The sequence below is a fragment of the Homo sapiens genome, chromosome 6 (genome assembly GCF_000001405.40).
Source record: "Homo sapiens chromosome 6, GRCh38.p14 Primary Assembly".
NCBI lineage: Eukaryota > Metazoa > Chordata > Mammalia > Primates > Hominidae > Homo > Homo sapiens.
Window position 1 is genome coordinate 26,436,852 of NC_000006.12, and position 20,994 is coordinate 26,457,845.

The window sequence follows — 20,994 nt, forward strand, 5'->3', positions numbered from 1 at the left end:
GCTATTTGTACTTCCTTTCAATAGTCCAGCTTAGTGGTTTGATCAAAGACTCTGGAGTGAGACAGCCTGGGCTCAAGGCCCAGCTCAGAAAGAAACTACTTGTGTGACCTTGGGAAGTCATTTAACCTCCCTGGACCTCAGCTTTTACGTCTATAAAATGTGGGAAATAAGGTACCTCTTAGTGTTGTTGTGAATCTTGTTAATATATGTAAATCTCTAAGCACAATACTAGCATTGTAGCAGGTTCTATGTAAGTATTTCCTAGTATTAATGTGAGTAATCAATCAAGTCCCCTCTCCTCCATTGCCAAGCTGCCATCATTTCTTGCCTAGAGTGTCACAGTAGCTTCCTTTCTGGTCTCCCTATCTCCTAACGTGTGGCCCACCGGATGAGGATGGGATATATTGTGCAACCCCAGCAGGCATCATCCCATGGAATACAATGTAAAAGGTGCCCCCTACCTCCCATCTTCCCTGGCACCTGCCCCACTGCTATTTTCAGTGTACACATTTTCTCACGTCATACTTTTCAGATATTTTCCCTTCACCTTCACACTAAAACTCCAACTCACAGCAGGCAACTGTCGATGTTTTCTCCAGGGGAGGTGGATTTAGGAGTCATCAATGCAGGGATCAGAATTAAGCCTTTCAGAATGGAAGACAATGAAATTCATTTAGGGTTAATACATGCAGGTGCTGTGCTAACTCTTCCTTAAATAACTTATGGACCATGTCTCATTTCCACTATAGACAAAGAAACAGAAACATTGAGTGATTAGTTAACCAGCTTTGGGTTCCAGGGCTAATGAGTTGTGCATGACAACAGATGAAGATAGAAAAAAAAAAGCCTAGAGAGAGTAGATAGTAAGCCAGTGTGCCTGGGACATGCTGACAGATATCTAGATGTAGCATAAAGAAAATTTGTGTTCATGGGAGGTCCTAATGGCAGCAAGAGGTGAGATAACCATGAGAAATGGACATTTCTTGGTGAGACTAACTCGATAAAGGAGACAAATCTCTGGGCATTTTGCCACACCTACTGCATGCAGGACACTGCACTAGATCTTATAAAAGATAAAGAGAAGATAGCATCAAGTGCCTAGGTCTTGAAGGAGGGCTGAGTGCACTTTTCATTTAGCGTACATTCTTATGACTTACTTTTTTATCATACACTGTTGTAAGCAAACTGCATGTGTTGTCTCATTCCATGCTCACAGCAACAACTCTTAAAAGTCAAGTACTATTACTGTCATTATTTTACAGGTAGGGAAACTGGGGCACAAAGAAGTTAGAGAACTGGCCAAAGGTCACACAGGCCACCTGGCTTCAGAATTAGTGCTCTTATCCACTCTATTATGCAACCTCTCCTCACTAGTTTTGAACTTCAGTGGCTGAGACCTACTACATGGTAGGTTCTCAATAAAAATTTGTTGAATCACTGAATTCATTTCTGCCCCATTTCACATCCATTTCTTTCCCAAGACTTCTTTGTCAGAGTTCGGTATAAAGGACTGATGAGAAATGGACCCAGGGCCTCACACTTTGGAAACTACAAAGTTCAACGATACAAACTATTGGTCCCAGAAACTCCTAATCTGAAGCTTAGCACCTCAGCTGCTGTGTCAAAAATGACTTGGATCCTTCAGGCAAGGGTGGGGTGATCATTCTTACTGATATAATTTCAAGCAGCACAGCTTCTGATAGACTGTGAATTTAAAAATGAGCAAATGGGCTGGGCTCAGTGGCTCATGCCTGTAATCCCAGCACTTTGGGAGGCCGAAGCGGGCGTATCACCTGAGGTCAGGAGTTTGAGATCAGCCTGGGCAACACGGTGAAACCCAGTCTCTACTAAAAATACAAAATTAGCCGGGCATGGTGGCACATGCCTGCAATCCCAGCTACTCAGGAGGCTGAGGCAGGAGAATCGCTTGAACCTTCGGAGCCGGAGGATGCGGTGAGCCGAGATCGCACCATTGCACTCCAGCCTGGGCAACAAGAGTAAATCTCCATCTCACCAAAAAAAAAAAAAGAAAAAGAAAAGAAATAAAAATGAGCAAATGAACATTTAAATAAATAAGTATGATGGATAAATAGGGAATGAACAGTGGTATGGATTATAATAAAGTAAGAAAGTTTCGTAAAATATTAAGTATATCACTATAATCTACATGGTAGGCATATTGGTATTCACCAAAAATTCTTTCACCTTTGCTTTATGTTTTAGAAGTGTTATGGTAAACTGTTGGGAAGGAAAAGGGGGAGGGAAGAATTGTGGGATTCTGTTGGTAACAGAGACCAGAAATACCATTGGCTTAAACAAAACAAGGGTTTTCTTGTTTTTTCTTGATGTTGTTGTTTGTTTTCATGTAAAATGAATTTAGATGGCGGTAGTCCAGGGCTGACCTGGCAGCTCAGAGATGTCATTCATGCCCCAGCCTGCTTCTGACTTCATTCTCTGCTGTCTCTGCATGTGGCTTTCAACCTCAAGGTTGCCTCATGGTTCTAAGAGGGCTGCCGCACCTCTAGTTCAAAAGTCTACATCCAAGACAAGAGGAAGAAGGAAGTACGGAGAGTGTACACTCACACTCCCAGCTATCTTGGCCTCCATTCTGAAGGATCTCTGGGAGAAACACAAGCCCACAACTTTACCTACAAACTATTGATTCCAACTTAGTCCCTTGTTCTCTGGTATCTATGAGATAGCAGAGCCTATTGAAGTACCCAAGAAAATTAGGCTTTATCACCAAGAAGAAAGGGGGACTGCATGATGCAGAAGGGACCAGCCATCTCAACCAGATACTGCACAGCCTAAATTCAAACTGTTACAATATAATCAAATTTCATCAACCCCAGTCACATCTTAATCTTAGGAGTTTTGATCACTGACTTGCAAATCCAAAAAGTGTGTTTTGAGGTCCTAGGCCACAGGAAGAACCAGTTTGTCTCACAGACCTCTTACAGAGATGGCATTTGTAGTCTATCTAGATTCCAGCTTCAGATAATATGTACTCCACTGGCAGCACGAGAAATAAATACACAGGAAAATACAATATAGCACAAACCAGGAGCTGAGGGCGAATGAAGATGCTCAGAAACACCTGCACTAAAAGTTTCCTGAAAAAGGTAAAAAATGTCAATCAGCACTGCCTCTGGAAACCAGAAACATTATATTATTTGATAACAGATCCTAAGTCTGGATGCTGGAGGTGCTTAAAAATGTGCATTGCGTCTGGCTTTCTTTCCATGTATACATTTATTTGACGCTGTAGTAAAATCTCCTCCTTCAGGTACCCATATTCATGCAAGCAAATGTTAGCAAACTGCCACAGTAGCATTTTAATTAGTGCACAACTTTCTCTCTTCACCACATTATAATCTTTTCTCATTTTGTTCTGCTGCTATTTCTATTATGATAAAAGACTTAAGTAAATATGTAGAAATACTTATATACATGGACACGCAATAATGATTCAAATAGATAAACACAGAAACACAAACACTAAGGGAGGTACGGCTGGAATTTTTCTGCAACGTGTACAATTCAATGTACTTTCACTTTTCATTTCAACCCTCCTCAGTGGTTTCCTCCCAGCAACTGATGAGAAACATCACCTCTGAGCCAATCAAAAAACTAATTCTTCCAAAAAGAGATTGTTATTATTCCTCACAATAACCAGATAGCCTCTGCTTTCTTTTTCCTTTCTTCGGAATGAGAGACTCAACCATAATAGAAAGAATGGAGAACTATTAACCACCATTCTTCAGTGGGCTGTGATTTTCAGAGGGGAATACTAAGAAGTAAGTGGGGAATGTTGATTAGAGCCTGGGCTACAATGCCTGGGAGGACAAGAGCTGAATCGCTGAGAGTGGTGAGTGGGCATGCAGGGAGAGTACTTGCCCAGGGAAAGGGGTGCAGTGCCTCTGTGTGTGTGTGTGTGTGTGTGTGTGTGTGTGTGTGTGTGTGTGCGTGTGTGCGCATGGGCACCCATGCACACATGTGGGCACATGGAGAAGAGGCAAGTAGTGCAAAGAATAAAGACCTGCAGATATTGGGATTTGGTGGAAGGAGAGGGAGACAACATAAATGAAGAAATATTCCAACTGCATGTTCTTAAGAACTTATTGTGGTCAGAAAAGGGCAAAAAAGTCGCTAAAATCTGTTTTGGCCAACACAAGCCATCTATTCTAAGAGATTCTAGAAAGAGATGTGCCTTATAGATTCATATGTAAATTTGTTCATTACAGAAATACTTATAATATAGAAAAATCTGAACCAGCATACACATACAACAGGCAGGGGGTAGACAAACAGTGCGTGGCTCTATCATAAAAGAGATTTCTATGCAGCTTTTAGGCATCATGTTTTTAATGAAGGGCAATTATTTCTCATTTTAACAGCATTAGATCCATACATTAAACCTTGTTTTGTATGTTTTAGGTACAGTATCTGTTTTTCCTTCCATTAATCATTTCCTCATAACCCAATATATGTGTTTCAATGGACACAATCTATTTCATTGTGTGAATATATAATTATTTTGTAATACTTTACTAATTTTGGCTATTTCAATTATCTACATTTGGCTACTGTATAGATTTTATTATATTTAACAACCTCAGACATAAATTTTTGTCTTAATTTCTGTCTTTTTTTTTTGCCTCAACAATAATTCCTATAAGTGGAACTTTTGGGTAAAGCATACAACTTTTTTTTTTAATAGCATTTCCTTGGTAGAGCATGTAACTTTTTAAAGATGCTTGCTGTATATATGACCAAAATGCTTTGAGAAATATTTATATTTCTACTACCAAAGTATATGATTACTACTACAGAGTTTTAATTTTATTGATTGACTAATTTGTAGAAATGGGGGTCTCATTATGTTACCCAGGCTGTTTTAAACCCCTGGGCTCAAGGAATCCTCCCACCTTGACCATCCAAATTGCTAAGATTGCAGGCATGAGCCACTGAACTTTTATTCCTTTATGCTTTTCTTCATTTGCAATATTGACTATAATCAGGAAGAAAATATAAACATCCTTTAAAAAGAATGAAAACATATGTCTCACTCTAAGCAGAGCAGAGAAATTGTTAACTTTGAAACCAGTGATAATAAAAATGATACCCCTTCTATAGCAACATAAAGAGAAGTTTTGAGGAACAGAAGATGTGAAATGCAATATTTAGTCTGGGTCAGTGCAAGATCCAGGCGAGGGTGGAGGATGGCCGGCTGCACAGACCTCTGTTCCGGTGCTTTCTCTTCATCCCTCCCCACCTCCCTCTGCAGACCTTGTTCTCAGAGGCCATTCCCAGACTCAGGTAGCTACAGCAGCGGGTGTTGTGGCTGCAGGCCTCATGCTCCTTTGCTTTGGAAGAAACTGTTGAGGAGTTAGTATTTACTGAGCAGCTTATATGTTCCAGTCAGTATTATCACTCATAATAATTACTGTTAAGTAATACATGAAAAATCTTAAATTTAAAGCATTTCAATATTTTAAAAGTAAAGGGAGCAAAAGGCCAACGTGTTCTTTTGCTCACTTAACTTCCGATCTTCAGTTTAGCATGCATCTTTTTAGACTTTTTCAGGCGTTTACATCTATAAATATGCAGAAATGTATAGCTTTGTTTTTGTTTTTCAGTTGAATCATTAGTGTAGTTCTGCAACATGCTTTTTGACCGCTTAGTGTATCACCATTATCTAGGTTCATGACAATAAATCAACTCTTTTTACCTGCTGCATTGAATTCCCTCTGAGGGATGAGCCGTAGTTCCTCTAAACAGTCTCCTGTTGGGTGGCTGGTTCAGTCGGTTACCACTTTTATACTTTAAAAACAGTGCTGCAGTGTCATTCTCACAGAGGCTTCTCTCTGCACTCATGCAAGTACTTTGCTAGACTAGACATCAGAAAGTGGAATTGCTGGACCCAATTGTGCACATTCGAAATTTCACACTTCATGATATTGTATGAATCAATAAAGTTCCAATGGTTTTGTCCCATGAACAAGATCACACAGCTTGTGAATCTTAGAGCCTTTACCTATTGCTTACCTTCTTTATGTCCTTAACACTAATATAGTAGGCCTCACCCATTGTGGGTGCTCAGTAAATACTTGTTGAATGACTTTATGAAGGGAAGAAAGAAAAGATGAGTAAGGCCTGGTCTTATTCAAAGCTCTCCTAATCAATATCTTTGTGATTAAACGTGGTGGGTTCAGCCCCTGACTGACTTCAGAGCCTCTGCCAGGCAGTCTGCCTGGATCCCACCAGGAGCCACCAGGCCATAAGTTGACTGTAGTAATGGCCAAGAGTTTGATGCTTGAGGAGTCCACAGTGTTGGACACCCACAGAGCTGAACAAGGGTGGGACCAGGGAATCCAGTGAAGAGGGTCCTTCATGAATCAGAGGGGGATGATGGAAGCTTGGACCTGGCAAGGGAAGTGTGGGGAAGTGATAGGATTATGAATATTTTAATATTTTAATGCAGTAGAGTCAGAGATGTCCTGATCAGATAACAGATATTATTTTTACAGATGGTTTTCCATACTGGAACCCAAAGGTAAAGACACTCAAGGACAGACATTTTTGGCAGAGGTAAGATCTTCTTTGGTCACCATACTTGAGTTAGCCCTGGGGAAGTGGACATTTCCATGCAGAAGCCTAAAGCTTCTTCCAGGCCATAGTGTCTGTCCCACACCTTCTGGTATCTCTTGATATGCAGCATAGATGAAAATGGCAAGTTCCCTGGCTTTCCTTCTGCTCAACTTTCATGTCTCCCTCTTCTTGGTCCAGCTGCTCACTCCTTGCTCAGGTAGGGAATGATTCCATGATTCCACATTTATGTTTCTGAAGCAGACAATTATCTCAATTACCTAATTAAGCAGACAATTACCTAAATGCCCTCTTAGAACCTTTAACTCATTCCCATACCTGGAAGTCCATCCCAACCTGAAGGACCACCTGTCACAAAGAGACAAATGGTCCTTCTGTTAGGATTGTGTTCCCCTCTAGGTTCTCTGTATCTCGCCTTCCCTGTCTGAGAAGGACCCTTCCTCTCGTGACCCCAACTCCAAAACCCTCTGATGGAGCTTCCCCCTTGTGCTGACAGCTCAGTTTTCTGTGCTTGGACCCTCTGGGCCCATCCTGGCCATGGTGGGTGAAGACGCTGATCTGCCCTGTCACCTGTTCCCGACCATGAGTGCAGAGACCATGGAGCTGAGGTGGGTGAGTTCCAGCCTAAGGCAGGTGGTGAACGTGTATGCAGATGGAAAGGAAGTGGAAGACAGGCAGAGTGCACCGTATCGAGGGAGAACTTCGATTCTGCGGGATGGCATCACTGCAGGGAAGGCTGCTCTCCGAATACACAACGTCACAGCCTCTGACAGTGGAAAGTACTTGTGTTATTTCCAAGATGGTGACTTCTACGAAAAAGCCCTGGTGGAGCTGAAGGTTGCAGGTGAGCCTCCAGGTTTTGTTCTGAGAACACTTCTCTGTAGGATCTAGAGCAGATGCAGAGTCCCTCTTCCAAAAGTACTGCAGACACTCCTGGCTGCTCACTAGCAATTGTCTGCACTGCCTCCCAACTTAGCTTCTCTGCAACCCTTAAGAAAGACACATTCTTTCTTTAGAAAGAATTCCTGCTGTACCTTACATGCCGAAGTAAACAACTCCCTCCCTCTGACAACCAGAGATATAAGGGAAATGAAGGACGACGGATAGGAAACATTAGAAATCATCTCTTTAGTGACTGGTACACAGTCATTTTGGTTTAGTCATGTAACAGACGGCTTCTGTTGTGTCTCCAAGTGCACGTTACCGTGGGTCCTGGGAGGTGGAATGGTGACTGTATCTGCTGCCAGTGTTTTCCAATCAGTGACTCCCAGAAACATTTTTGTAGTATAATGAGGCATGTTTCTTACTTGTTGCTTTGAGGAAGAACACACATCATGGGGAGCTGTGGCGAGGTCTCAGTAAGGTTTTAGAGCAGATTTATTTTACAATTTGGGCTTGTGTTAGGGGATTTGGGGGAGGGTTTATAGACTTAGCTCTCTTCTCTGGATGAGATACTGTCAGGAAGGTGTGGGGAGATGAATTCTGAGAGTGGGAGCCTTAATCAAGCTTATCTAGGAGGAAGGAGACTAGGGTGAGACTAAAGCTGTAAATGATGAAGAGGCAGCAATTCCTCATTGCTGATGGGGGATGTTTGGTTATTGTTGTGGTTTGTACAATGTTCATGTTTTTCTCTGCACTCACAAAAGATTGGGGTGGTCTTGTATTTCCCATGATCTGTCACAGTGATAAAGTACTATTTTTTGTGTTCTGTGAAATTACTTATGTTCAACAGGAGGATACCAAGACCTGGTATCAGGTTCCAGACGCCGAGGAGAGCTTTTTTCTTTCTCAGTGCAATCCCTTGCCTCATGGCTTCTGGTTGGGTTTGGTTTAAGGGGAGCTGTAGCAGACAATGGTAGGAAGAAGAGAAAAGGGAGAGGTCTGGGTGCTTATTCCCTGGCTTCCTTCCTGCAAGATTCCCTCAGGCTGGCTGCATTGCCTTGCTGAAGGTCACAAGTCAACTCAAGAAAGTCCTCAATGCATCAATCTTTTTATGTCTCCGGAACAGATCCCTCTCCTCCTCCCTCTGGTAATTGGGGTGGATGGGAATAGCCCCACATTACTGACCCTGGGATACTGCACTAGCCCATTTAGTTTTCTTTTCATCATGACCACACTTGTGTAAATAGCTCCTGAATGAAATCTTCCTTGGATTATCAAATGTGAGTCTGCCATTGATTCCCATTGAGACCCTCCCTGATACAGGAGCTCTCAAGAATTTAGGGCAATTTATCCTTCTACAGCATTGGGTTCTGATCTTCACATTGAAGTGAAGGGTTATGAGGATGGAGGGATCCATCTGGAGTGCAGGTCCACTGGCTGGTACCCCCAACCCCAAATAAAGTGGAGCGACACCAAGGGAGAGAACATCCCGGCTGTGGAAGCACCTGTGGTTGCAGATGGAGTGGGCCTGTATGCAGTAGCAGCATCTGTGATCATGAGAGGCAGCTCTGGTGGGGGTGTATCCTGCATCATCAGAAATTCCCTCCTCGGCCTGGAAAAGACAGCCAGCATATCCATCGCAGGTCAGTACCCTGCTTGGCCTCAGCTTTACTGAGCTGAGCTGTGGCAGGTGATGAAGGGGGATGTGTGAGTCTCTACTGTGTGAGTCTCTGCGGTCAACCTGGGTCTCTACAATGCATGTAAGGCTCAAAGCAGGGACCTGAAGGCTACTCACTGCTTTAGGGGAGCTTCCCCACGCCACAAAGCTGTTCATGCCACAAACATTTACTGATCACTTCCTGTCTGACAGAAACAGAAAGTGTGACAGGCAGTGGGAATTGGGGAAAAACATTAAGAGAAGCTCCTTATGTAAAGTCAAATGACAAAATGGGAAAACATATATATATTTACAAACTCATAGAGAAAGAGCTAATCTTTTTGAAACAGAAGAGTTTGAAAACTGAGTAAAAAATATTAACAAAGGTCATGAATTGTTAATTCACAGGAAAAGAAATAACCCACAAAAGAGTGCTCATTCTCACTCATTAGGGAAACATATCTGAAATCATTTTTCACTTATGATATTAGCAAAAATCAAAACCCCACTGCCTTGCTTGATACCACATGGCTATGGCAGGAGTGTAGGAAGGCAGTGACTCTCAGTCATTTGCTCGTGTCACTTGTATTTTTGGTGTGCATTAGCACAAGCTCTATTGGGGGATCTATCCAAACTACATATTTATTGATCCAAAATTCCAGTTCTGGGATATGCTTGCATTTGTATGAGATGATCCATGTAAAAGGTTTCTGGGGGTTTTTTTGTTTGTTTGTTTGTATGTTTTTTGAGAGGGAGTCTCACTCTGTTGCCCAGGATGGAGTGCAATGGCGCAATCTCGGCTCACTGCAACCTCCTCCTCCTGGGTTCGAGAGAGCCTCCTGTCTCAGCCTCCCCAGTAGCTGGGATTACAAGCATGCACCACCACACCTGGATAATTTTTATATTTTTACTAGAGATGTGGTTTCACCATGTTGGCCAGGCTGGTTTCAAACTCCAGACCCCAATTGATCCGCCTGTCTCAGCCTCCCAAGGTGCTGGGATTACAAGTGTGAGTCACCAGCCCGGCCTATAAAAAGTTTCTTATAGCATTGATTATGATTGTATAAGGTTAGAAGCTATGGAGATGCTCACTGATGGTGAACTTCCATACAAGGGAATACTGCCCAACTGTGAAAGAAAAAAGAGATAATTCTCTCTACACTAATATGGAAAGATCTCCAAGACACACTTTACACAGAAGAGTGAGATGCAGAGTGATGTGTATAGAATGTTATTTTTAGTTTAAACAAGAGGAAAAATAGGAACATATTTTAATTTACTTTTTTTAGTTCTTGATTCTGTTATTTAACTTACATTTTTAAAATTTAACAAGCAATTTTGTAATACTCACTGTACATCAAGTACTTTATTTACTTATTTAGAGACAGAGTCTCACTCTGTCACCTAGGCTGGAATGCTGTGGCACAATCTTGGCTCACTGCAAGCCCCGCTTCCTGGGTTGAAGCAATTCTATAGCCTCAGCCTCCCAAGTAGTTGGGATTACAGGGACATGACACTATGCCCAGCTAATTTTTGTAATTTTAGTAAACATGGGTTTTCACCGTGTCGGCCAAGCTGGTCTCGACCTCCTGACCTCAAGTGATCTGCCTGCCTCGGCCTCACAAAGTGCTGGGATTACAGGCATGACCCACTGCAGCCCATTAGGCCCTTTTAAAGTATTAATTTAATTCTTCTAACCTCAGGAGATAGGCATTATCATTACCCTCATTTTATAGATTAGGCCACTACAAACAGAGAGGTTATGTAAGTAGTCCAACATCACACTGCTAGTCACATAGGGGAGCCAGCATTTAAACCCTTGCCCTCTGACTCCACAGTTTATGTCCCTAAGCATCATATTAAGTGGACTAAGGAAAAGTTAATAGATGGAGGGAGGGAGTACTAGGTAGATGGGAGAGTTGCATAACTTTATGTACATGAAGTTTTTGAACCATGTAAATGTGTTACTGGTTGAAAAAATATTTAGAAAAAAATGAGTATGACTCTGCTGAAGTTAATTTCCATACGAGAGGCAGACCTCTCAAGATAGTAATAGTAGTAGCTTGTAGTGAGGGTTTACCAAAGTCCTCTCTACAGTCCTCTGAGACTTTAGGGACAGAACGCTTATTTAACCTCATGAGATGGATTCCATGCCCCCAACCTGGGCTGAGCAGCTAAAGCTTGGGGTGCTGAGGCTGGGGAGGCTGAGTGCACTAGCTCCCATGACCCACAGCTCTCCCCTTCGCAGACCCCTTCTTCAGGAGCGCCCAGCCCTGGATCGCGGCCCTGGCAGGGACCCTGCCTATCTCGTTGCTGCTTCTCGCAGGAGCCAGTTACTTCTTGTGGAGACAACAGAAGGAAAAAATTGCTCTGTCCAGGGAGACAGAAAGAGAGCGAGAGATGAAAGAAATGGGATACGCTGCAACAGAGCAAGAAATAAGCCTAAGAGGTATCCAACGCAAGCAGAGAATCTAAGCCCCTGGCTTGCATGCCCCAGCCTGAAGATCTCACCCCCATTCCCACCCTGACACTGCATCAAGTTTAAGGTTTATTTTCCCAAAACCCCCCTTACCCATAACTGTTCTTTTTTTCTTTTCTTTTTTTGCTTATTTTCCAGAGAAGCTCCAGGAGGAACTCAGTAAGTTCCCATTCCCCAGGAGACCCAGGCATGTCTTCTTATCCCCACTTTGAGCACCTTGATAACCCTTCCCTATTCATTCCATTGCAGAGTGGAGGAAAATCCAGTACATGGCTCGTGAGTGACTCTGACATTTTCTCTGAATTTGAATCTTGAATCTATGACTCTCTTCTGCTTGGAAATTTTCCAGCCCATAAGTCTTTGCCCAGGGTTGAAAAATGGTCCTAGATCCCTTTACTCAGGAAAAGAAAATAAGTTTGGCTCTTTGGAGAAACCACCCAGAAGGAGTCTCTCTCTCTCGTCTATCTCTCTCTCTAAGAAAAGAAAAAGAGGTCTTCAATCTCTTTGTACTAGGGGCCACAGACCTTTATGCCCTAAAAAGCACTGAGGAATATCCAGGGGTACACTTCAAAAGGAAGAGAGAAGGATGAGGTGCATTTTCTGTGGCAGGAAACTTACTTGTTGTTTTCCATAATCTAGAGGATGTTGAAAGGAAAACAAGAATGGAAGATTTAAGAGATAAGAAAATCAGAAAAGAGAGAGGGAGACAAGTGTGTCTAATAAAGAGGAATAGCTACAGTGGCTCAGTTGGTACAGATTTATCATAACTGCTTTCAAAAACTAGTCCCTGAAATTGCTCATTAAATTTCCCAAATTCTTTTTAGAGCAAGGTAGGAAATGATACAGATTGAGAAGGGTGGATCTTGTACTCCTAGACATACACATATAGACATGGTGACACCTATGCCCAGGTACAGGAGTATAGACAGATTCAAAATAGATTAGCTGGACTCCACTGGGAAGGAACTCTCACAGTGACTGCCCTGCCACTAGCATTCAACCAATGTTCCCAGACTTGATATTAAGAAGAAGAGGTGAAGAGAGAATTGAGCTTGCAGAGTGAGACCACAGGGAAGAGTGGAATGGTCAAAAAGAAAGTCTAGATGGATGCGAAAGGAAGTGGAAGGGGCCAACAGAGCAAAGGCAGTGTTCAGGTGACACCTCTATCTTTCTTTCATTGTAGGTGGAGAGAAGTCTTTGGCCTATCATGGTGAGTGAGCCTGATGCTCTCTGGGTTTGCTGGGTCATGTACAATGAACATTTCAACTTTTTCTCTGCTGTGACCCATTGACGTTCTCAGTTGGATTAATCAGATCTAACCCTTAGACTCAATTTTGCATGGTAGGGGGTTGACTTCTGCTTTTCTGGAGCCTCTGAGAGACTCCTGACCCTGCACATGCCCAGGCAAAGCATAACCATGCAGCCTGCACCCCCCATGGCACAGGGAGCCGAGCCTGACATTGTTTAGAAGGTGCCACCTCTGATCTATCAGAGCTGTAGAGGAAGGAAGCTGAAGCCTGGAAGAGACTCTGAAGAAAAGGAGAGAAAACGTGTAGTGAAAGGAGAATGGAGTGGAGAAAAGAACAAAAATACTGACCTTTTTCTTATCTGTGTCTCCTTCCTTTCAGAATGGAAAATGGCCCTCTTCAAACCTGGTGAGTAAATCACTGTATGTTCCCTGGATCAACAACCTGAGGGACTATATTCCTTTCTCCTCCTCCAACTCTTGTGATTTAGGGAAGAAAAGTTCCCTTGACTAAGAAAGTTTGGGGTAGACAACATTAAATCCCAATCTGAAAAGTGGGCCCATCTCCAAGACCCTTCCCGCTGAGAGCCCAGGGAACCAGGGAGAATTGCTCTCTTGGGCTTCCTCAGACCTTCCTGGGAAGGAAGACACATAAAGGGTGGAGCTGAGGGGAAGGAGACACACACTGAGTGATACTGCAGGGAGAGTGAGGATGCAAATGCCAAGGAGAGGAGGTGATGCCTGCCCAAAGAACTTTGCACTTCCCAGGCTTCTCATGCCCCCTACTGCCTGTGTCACCTCAAATGATTTAATGCTTCCGAGCTTTCGCCTCCACATTTTTAAATGAAAATTGCAATCTGTGTTTTGTGGGGGTGAGGTGAAGACTGAAGTAATAATAAATATCCACTGGTCAAAAACCAAGTAAGAAAGAGATGACAAGTTCAAACTGGTTGGTTGAAAAAGGTTTGCGGAAAGGAGGGATAAGGGTAAGCAATAAGGAAAAGTGCAGTGCCCCCATGGTTCCCAACAGTGGGGAGCTGTCTTCACTCCTAGCCTGGGAGGTCTAGGAAGGGGAGGCAGTTACTGGAACCCAGAGAAAAGTAGCTCAAAAGAGAGGGCTCCCTGAGAAGAGTCGTCAGGCCTTGTTAGAGTAGCATCAGCTGCTGCTGGCAGGGAGGAAGCAGGAGAATAAACAGTGTGTCTCTCCTTTCTTTCTCCTTCCAATCTTCTATCAGGGCCTCCCATTGGCCAAACCCAACAGCAAACCAGAAGACAAGGGAGCCCAGTGGCACTATCCTTAGAGTACAGATTCCTAGGACCCAGAAGAGGGTGGAAAAAGCTGAAGGCTGGAGAGTGAATCTGGGGCCCCTCATAGAGCCCAGCATAGAGACGGCCTTGCAGCTATTAGAACATCAGGAGCTTCCTTCATGCCCTGCTGTGGGCTGAGTAAATAACATGATTCCCCTATACTACGCTAGAGAGTCATATTTTTATCCCCATTTTTCAGGTGACAAAATGCTTCAGATGAGGCTCCACCTTGTTAAATAAATTGGATGTATGGAAAAATAGACTGCAGAAAAGGGGAGCTCATTTAGTTCATAAGCGGTCGAGTGAAGATTGAAAATTAACCTCTGAGTATAAGGCATTAGGGGGCAGAGTCAATGTGGGGAGGGAAACAAGAAAAATGTAGCAAGAGGATCCTTATTGCTTCCTGAGGCAGCATCAGGGTATTGGGTTAGGCAGATACTGACCTTACTTTCATTTCCCCTCTGGACACAAGACCCCTTGAGCTTTCTCCCATGACATTGATGAGAGAGTCATATTTAGAGCAGGCTAGGGACGCCAGGTTCTGGAAGGACCTCCTTAGCATGGTCCAGGCCTTGCATGCTGAGGCTCTGAAATCCAGGAAAAATGGCTGACCCCATGGACACCTCCTCAAACTCTCTGCAGCGGATGTGATTCTGGATCCAGACACGGCAAACGCCATCCTCCTTGTTTCTGAGGACCAGAGGAGTGTGCAGCGTGCTGAAGAGCCGCGGGATCTGCCAGACAACCCTGAGAGATTTGAATGGCGTTACTGTGTCCTTGGCTGTGAAAACTTCACATCAGGGAGACATTACTGGGAGGTGGAAGTGGGGGACAGAAAAGAGTGGCATATTGGGGTATGTAGTAAGAACGTGGAGAGGAAAAAAGGTTGGGTCAAAATGACACCGGAGAACGGATACTGGACTATGGGCCTGACTGATGGGAATAAGTATCGGGCTCTCACTGAGCCCAGAACCAACCTGAAACTTCCTGAGCCTCCTAGGAAAGTGGGGATCTTCCTGGACTATGAGACTGGAGAGATCTCGTTCTATAATGCCACAGATGGATCTCATATCTACACCTTTCCGCACGCCTCTTTCTCTGAGCCTCTATATCCTGTTTTCAGAATTTTGACCTTGGAGCCCACTGCCCTGACCATTTGCCCAATACCAAAAGAAGTAGAGAGTTCCCCCGATCCTGACCTAGTGCCTGATCATTCCCTGGAGACACCACTGACCCCGGGCTTAGCTAATGAAAGTGGGGAGCCTCAGGCTGAAGTAACATCTCTGCTTCTCCCTGCCCACCCTGGAGCTGAGGTCTCCCCTTCTGCAACAACCAATCAGAACCATAAGCTACAGGCACGCACTGAAGCACTTTACTGATATTCATTCCATTATTCCATATGACAGTTGTTTTGAGTTTCGTACCACCTTATTGTCCCCTTATACAGATAAGGAAACTGGGGTGCAGAAAGGTGAATTAACTTTACAAAGTAGACATGACAAGTGAACAGCAGAGCTGGGATCTAAACAGCAATAACTAACATTAACAGAGAATTTAAAATGTTCTTAGTGCTGTGTTATAAGCTTTGGTGGATGTCACTCCTTTAATCCTCACAACACCCTGTCGGGTAGTCATATTTTGCAAGTATGGAAGCTGAGGCAGGGCAACATGAAGTAACTTACATAACTCATACAGTAATTTGTGCAGTTGGGAGATGTTCAGCCTTAGTCCCTGGCTAATTGCCTGTTCTTTTCCAGCCTGATTTTTTTTCCCACAGGAAGAGCCCACATGTAGCCCTGAGGTTTCCTTCCCAGGACAGCTGCAGGGTAGAGATCATTTTAAGTGCTTGTGGAGTTGACATCCCTATTGACTCTTTCCCAGCTGATATCAGAGACTTAGACCCAGCACTCCTTGGATTAGCTCTGCAGAGTGTCTTGGTTGAGAGAATAACCTCATAGTACCAACATGACATGTGACTTGGAAAGAGACTAGAGGCCACACTTGATAAATCATGGGGCACAGATATGTTCCCACCCAACAAATGTGATAAGTGATTGTGCAGCCAGAGCCAGCCTTCCTTCAATCAAGGTTTCCAGGCAGAGCAAATACCCTAGAGATTCTCTGTGATATAGGAAATTTGGATCAAGGAAGCTAAAAGAATTACAGGGATGTTTTTAATCCCACTATGGACTCAGTCTCCTGGAAATAGGTCTGTCCACTCCTGGTCATTGGTGGATGTTAAACCCATATTCCTTTCAACTGCTGCCTGCTAGGGAAAACTGCTCCTCATTATCATCACTATTATTGCTCACCACTGTATCCCCTCTACTTGGCAAGTGGTTGTCAAGTTCTAGTTGTTCAATAAATGTGTTAATAATGCTTACTCCTCAGCTTGGCTTTTTCTAGACTGTGGTGTCTACTCAGCACAGTAGTCTGCACACCCACTGTACTCACCACAGTCTCAGTTTACCTCACTGCAGCATTTTCACAAGACCCTTATTGGATGCATTTTCTGTTGTTGCCATCTGAATTACCAGAAATGTATAGACATTTTTTTTTTTTTGAGATTGGATTGTGCCACTGTACTCCCAGGCTGGAGTACAGTGGCACGATCTCAGCTCACTGCAACCTCCACCTCCCAGGTTGAAGTGATTCTCCTGCCTCAGCCTTCCGAGTAGCTGGGACTACAGGTGCGTGCCACCACGCCTGGCTAATTTTTTGTGTTTTCAGTGCAGACGAGGTTTCACCATGTTGTCCAGGATGGTCTCGATCTACTGACCTTGTGATCCACCCACCTCGGCCTCCCAAAGTGCTGGGATTACAGGTATGAGCCACCGCGCCTGGCTTCAGAAATTCATGAACTTAAAGCAACACAAATTTATTATCTCACTGTTCTGTAGGTGAGAAGTCAGAAGTCCCACAGGGATCTCACCAGGCTAGAATCAAGGTGTCTGCAGGCTGGATTCCTTTCTGGAGTCTCTAAGGAAGAATCTGTTTCCTTGCTTATTCAGACTATTGGCAGAATCAGTTCCTTTCATTTATAGGACTGACGTCCCAGTTGTTCCCTGGTTTTTAGCTAAGGGCTGTACCCACTTCTAGAGGCTGCCACACTCTGGCTCCTAGCTCCCTTCCTGTATCTTCAAAGCAGCAACAGCGCATTGAGGCTCATCTCCTAGGTCTTTTTCTCCATTGTGTCTCTCTGATTCTTTTACCTTCTCCTTTTTTTCCTTCCTTTCTTTTTTTTTTTTTTTTCTTCTTTGACAAGGACTCGCTCTGTCACCCAGGCTGAAGTGCAGTGGCGTGATCTCAGCTCACCACATTGTCCCCTGGGCTCAAGCAATCCACCCATCTTAGCTTCTCAAGCAGCTGGGAGCACAGAGCCACATCACCATGCCTGGGTATTTTCTTGTAGAGACAGGGTCTTGCCATGTTGCCCAGGCTGGTCTCAAACTCCTGAGCTCAAGCAATCTGCCCACCTTGGTCTCCCAAAGTGCTGGGATTATAGGCATGAGCCACCACGCTCAGTCTGCCTTTTACTTTTAAAGACTCCTATGATTAAACTGAGATCACCCAGACAATTTAGAATAATCTCTCTATTTTAAGGTCCATAACCTTAATTCTGTGTAAAATTCATTTTACTGTGTTATACATTCTTTTCATAACTTTCATAGTGAATATAGCTCAAAGGGTGGGTGCGGGGAGCACTATTCAGCTCACCACACTGATTTGGGAAGTGATTCCAGGAAACACAAGTGCAGAAACAAATTGAGAAATGAAAAAAAGCCAATTACATGACAAATGGGATAAAGGGTTCACTCATGAGTCAGTTACCATGTGGATAACTTGGCTGAATCCCTTTTAGGACTCTCTAAGAAACCATATGAAATGTGTGATATAGCTCAGAATCTTCCTAAGGACTACAGGGCCTGGGACTTTATCTCCACTTCCCATCCTCCTTTGCTTGAATTGGTTGAAGGTTGGCCTGGGAGTGTTAATTCTAATGCACTTTAAGATTGGGCTATGTAACTGCAGAAAAGCAACTATCACGGGTGTGATAAAGCTCACAGGCAAAGGAGAAGGGAGATACTCACTGGAGGTGGAAAGGTTGTCATCCTTGCAGAAAACTGTGCCTCAGCTATTGGCAAACTGTGATAGGCCAAGAGAATATGGGATGGGGCATCAACAGCGTCTGTTATAAGGGCTCTGCCTCTGAGAATATAGTGAATGCCTTTCAAGGTCTCTCTGCCCTCGCTGTACCACATTTAGCATTAGTGACCTCTTCTCTTCCAATACATGCCCACATCACATGGCCCTGCAGCCTCACCACATGGACTGGGTCTGGGATGGACACCTGACCCAGGCTAGGCCAGAGGACCAAGTGACATGTGGCTAGTTACTCCTGTAGCAGATGTGCATGGGAGCTGTGGGAAGAAATGCTCCATTCATGGTGTGGACTAAACAATGGTGGATTGCAGAGAAGACCAAAGCAGATGAGCAGAGAGAAGGCTACAAGATGGAAAGAGTTTAGGCAAATTTCTCACGTTTGGTTCTTTTAGAAGCCCAGTATCATTTCTTCTTTTTGAAAAAATGTGTTCTTTTGAGGCAAGATAAATGTACTCGTTAATATTGCTTGTAGTCCTAATATTCAGAAGCTTATGCAACTATTATAATATGTTCAGTGATTCTGTGAGTCAGGAATCTAGAATTTGAACAGGGCAGAGTAGGAATGGATTTTCTGTATGTCAACATGTCTAGGCCTCCCCTGGGAGTACTCCATAGCTGGAGATGACACAGCTATATTACCTTCACAGACTGTAGTTTATTGTAAAGCAAAAGGAAATCAATGCTTACCCTGTATCCTGGTTCTTCCAGGGTTGGCAGGTCCATAAAGAACCTTGCCAACGTGACCCTTCCTGTCTCTATCCCTCCCACTACAGAGCATGATTGGGTTAGGTTGTTACTATCTAACCGGGCACACCCCAGTAGAGCCTGATTTCTTTCTAAGCTACCCCATCGTCAACTGATCCTCTTCCTTCTCAGAACACACACGTTTCCCTCTAGCTCAGATCAACTTTGGCAGAGGCTGAAGCCTGGCTTAGCTGGATGCTTCTGGCAAAAGGGCTACTTCAAAGCCCTGGGCCTTATTTCTTCAGGTAAAAAAATATAAAGTCAGATCTCATCCTGGCTGGCCATGCTGTTAGACCCTTTCATCCTTCTCTTCTGCCTCTTCTCAACAGCTGCCCAGTCCTGTTTGGAATTCATATACATACAGTTCTAATACTGATGTATTTACCCTCATAAGCCACTCAACCCAGAATCTTATTTGAATTATAATCCAGAAACATCAGGTGACGTGTGAGACTACTGTATGAGAAAGAGACAGTTTAAGGGTCAGTCCAATGGAAAAAAGAGTTCTCAGAGCTTTCTTTAGCTTATTCTCATCAAAGAGCTTTCTCTGCAGAAGGAACCTACTGGTTCCTCCTTTCCAGTCCTAGAAATCCTGACCTAGAGTGGCTTAATCCTGCTAGCACCTCTCTCTCGCACTCTGGTGCCAAATGACTCCAGGAACTGGGCCATGATGTGGTGGGAATGACCTTACCCTGAGCATGTCACTCATGCATTGAACAACAGCTAAGAGCAGAGCTTAGAGCTTAGAGCTGGGCCCTGTAAGGTGAGAGGAATCACATCCTGCAGAAGTCTGTCCTGAGAAGCAGGTACTCCTGTCACAGCAGAGACACAGTGGATACCTGAGTAACAATAATACAAGACAGGACGTGGGAACAGCAAAAGATTTGGGTGTCAGAAGAGGCCGAGAACACTTCAGGCAGGAACATTCAGAGTTGTTCTTGGAGGAAGTAGGCACGAAGGCTGGGCAGGATTTCACGGGGCAGAGATGGAGCAAGCAATTGAAATGAAAGCCATGGCATGGGAAAAGGAGCACTGGCCACAGGGAGTGCAACGTTGTGATGCAAGGCCACTGTGGAGCCATTGCTAGCGTATTAACTGCAAAGTTTTGAATTGAATCAGAAGGGAATTGGAGGCCTCCAGACTAAGCATTTAGACACTTGAGGGGAATATTGACAACTGGGCCTCGGGAAGATTATTCTGGAAGATATCTTTACAATTACAAGATTGGAGCCTTTGGGAGAGGGATGATGTTTACGGGAGGATGGTATGTGTGCTAGTGTGTGTGTCTGTGTGTGGCTCTTGGACCCAACCTGACCACCTACTATCTAGAAGGTGAAGGACAACTAGAAAGTTTTGCTCAATTCCATCTTCTGCCACCACCAGAATGCCACCTCCCTGAGGGAAAAGGTTTTTGATCCTCAGTCAGGATTCTCAGCACCTCTTATCCGATAGCTTTGGAATGAATGGCAAGGCCTTCATAACAGCCACTGCAACTGCTGTCTCCTTTCCTTTGCTACCCCTCCCGCTCCAGCCATGCCAGCTTCCCCCAAGCCCTCCTGCGCTCCAGGCCCAACCTCCAAAGCCAGCAACTTGAACAGGAGTCCTCTGGCTTTGGAAAGGGGGCGGCTTACGTTTTCCTGCTCATGTTTCCTCCCCAGCAAAATTGCCCTCTACATAGAGAGGCCTCTCCTTGTGGACACCAGCAAAGCCACCGACCTCAGTGACAAACCCCAGGGAATCTCCCCAAGGAATCTCAAAGCGAGAGAGAGAGAGAGAGTCTTGAGAGAGAAAGAGAGAGAGAGAGAGTCTTGCTTTCGAACAAAGAAAAAGGAAATAAAAAGACCCGATAATCTCAAAAGGTTATTTGCTGCTTGAAATTTGTGATTCGGTGTATTCTACCCAGCA

The 20,994-nt window shown here is 44.1% G+C and overlaps 1 protein-coding gene across 3 annotated transcripts, besides 1 other annotated feature; it reads left to right on the forward strand.

The window, feature by feature from the left end:
* Positions 1–3,652: 3,652 nt before the first annotated feature.
* Positions 3,653–16,564, forward strand: BTN3A3 (butyrophilin subfamily 3 member A3). 3 transcript variants are annotated; one of them, NM_006994.5, is made up of 11 exons: positions 3,653–3,797; positions 6,531–6,591; positions 6,719–6,808; positions 7,106–7,453; positions 8,853–9,134; positions 11,397–11,597; positions 11,766–11,786; positions 11,877–11,903; positions 12,811–12,837; positions 13,256–13,282; positions 14,824–16,564. In NM_006994.5, the coding sequence occupies exons 3-11, from the start codon at positions 6,724–6,726 to the stop codon at positions 15,558–15,560; spliced, it is 1,755 nt and encodes a 584-aa protein (NP_008925.1). In that variant the 5' UTR covers positions 3,653–3,797; positions 6,531–6,591; positions 6,719–6,723; the 3' UTR covers positions 15,561–16,564. The 3 variants fall into 3 exon arrangements, with proteins under 3 accessions (NP_008925.1, NP_932078.2, NP_001229732.1); NM_197974.3 differs by lacking the exon at positions 11,766–11,786 and having other exon boundaries at positions 6,790–6,808; NM_001242803.2 differs by lacking the exons at positions 6,531–6,591; positions 6,719–6,808; positions 8,853–9,134; positions 11,397–11,597; positions 11,766–11,786.
* Positions 20,715–20,974: an enhancer, noted in NCBI's record as "active region_24242". NCBI's record gives its function as "activates an Ori minimal core promoter by ATAC-STARR-seq in GM12878 lymphoblastoid cells {active_cell/tissue: GM12878}" and the evidence as "EXISTENCE:reporter gene assay evidence [ECO:0000049][PMID:35858748]".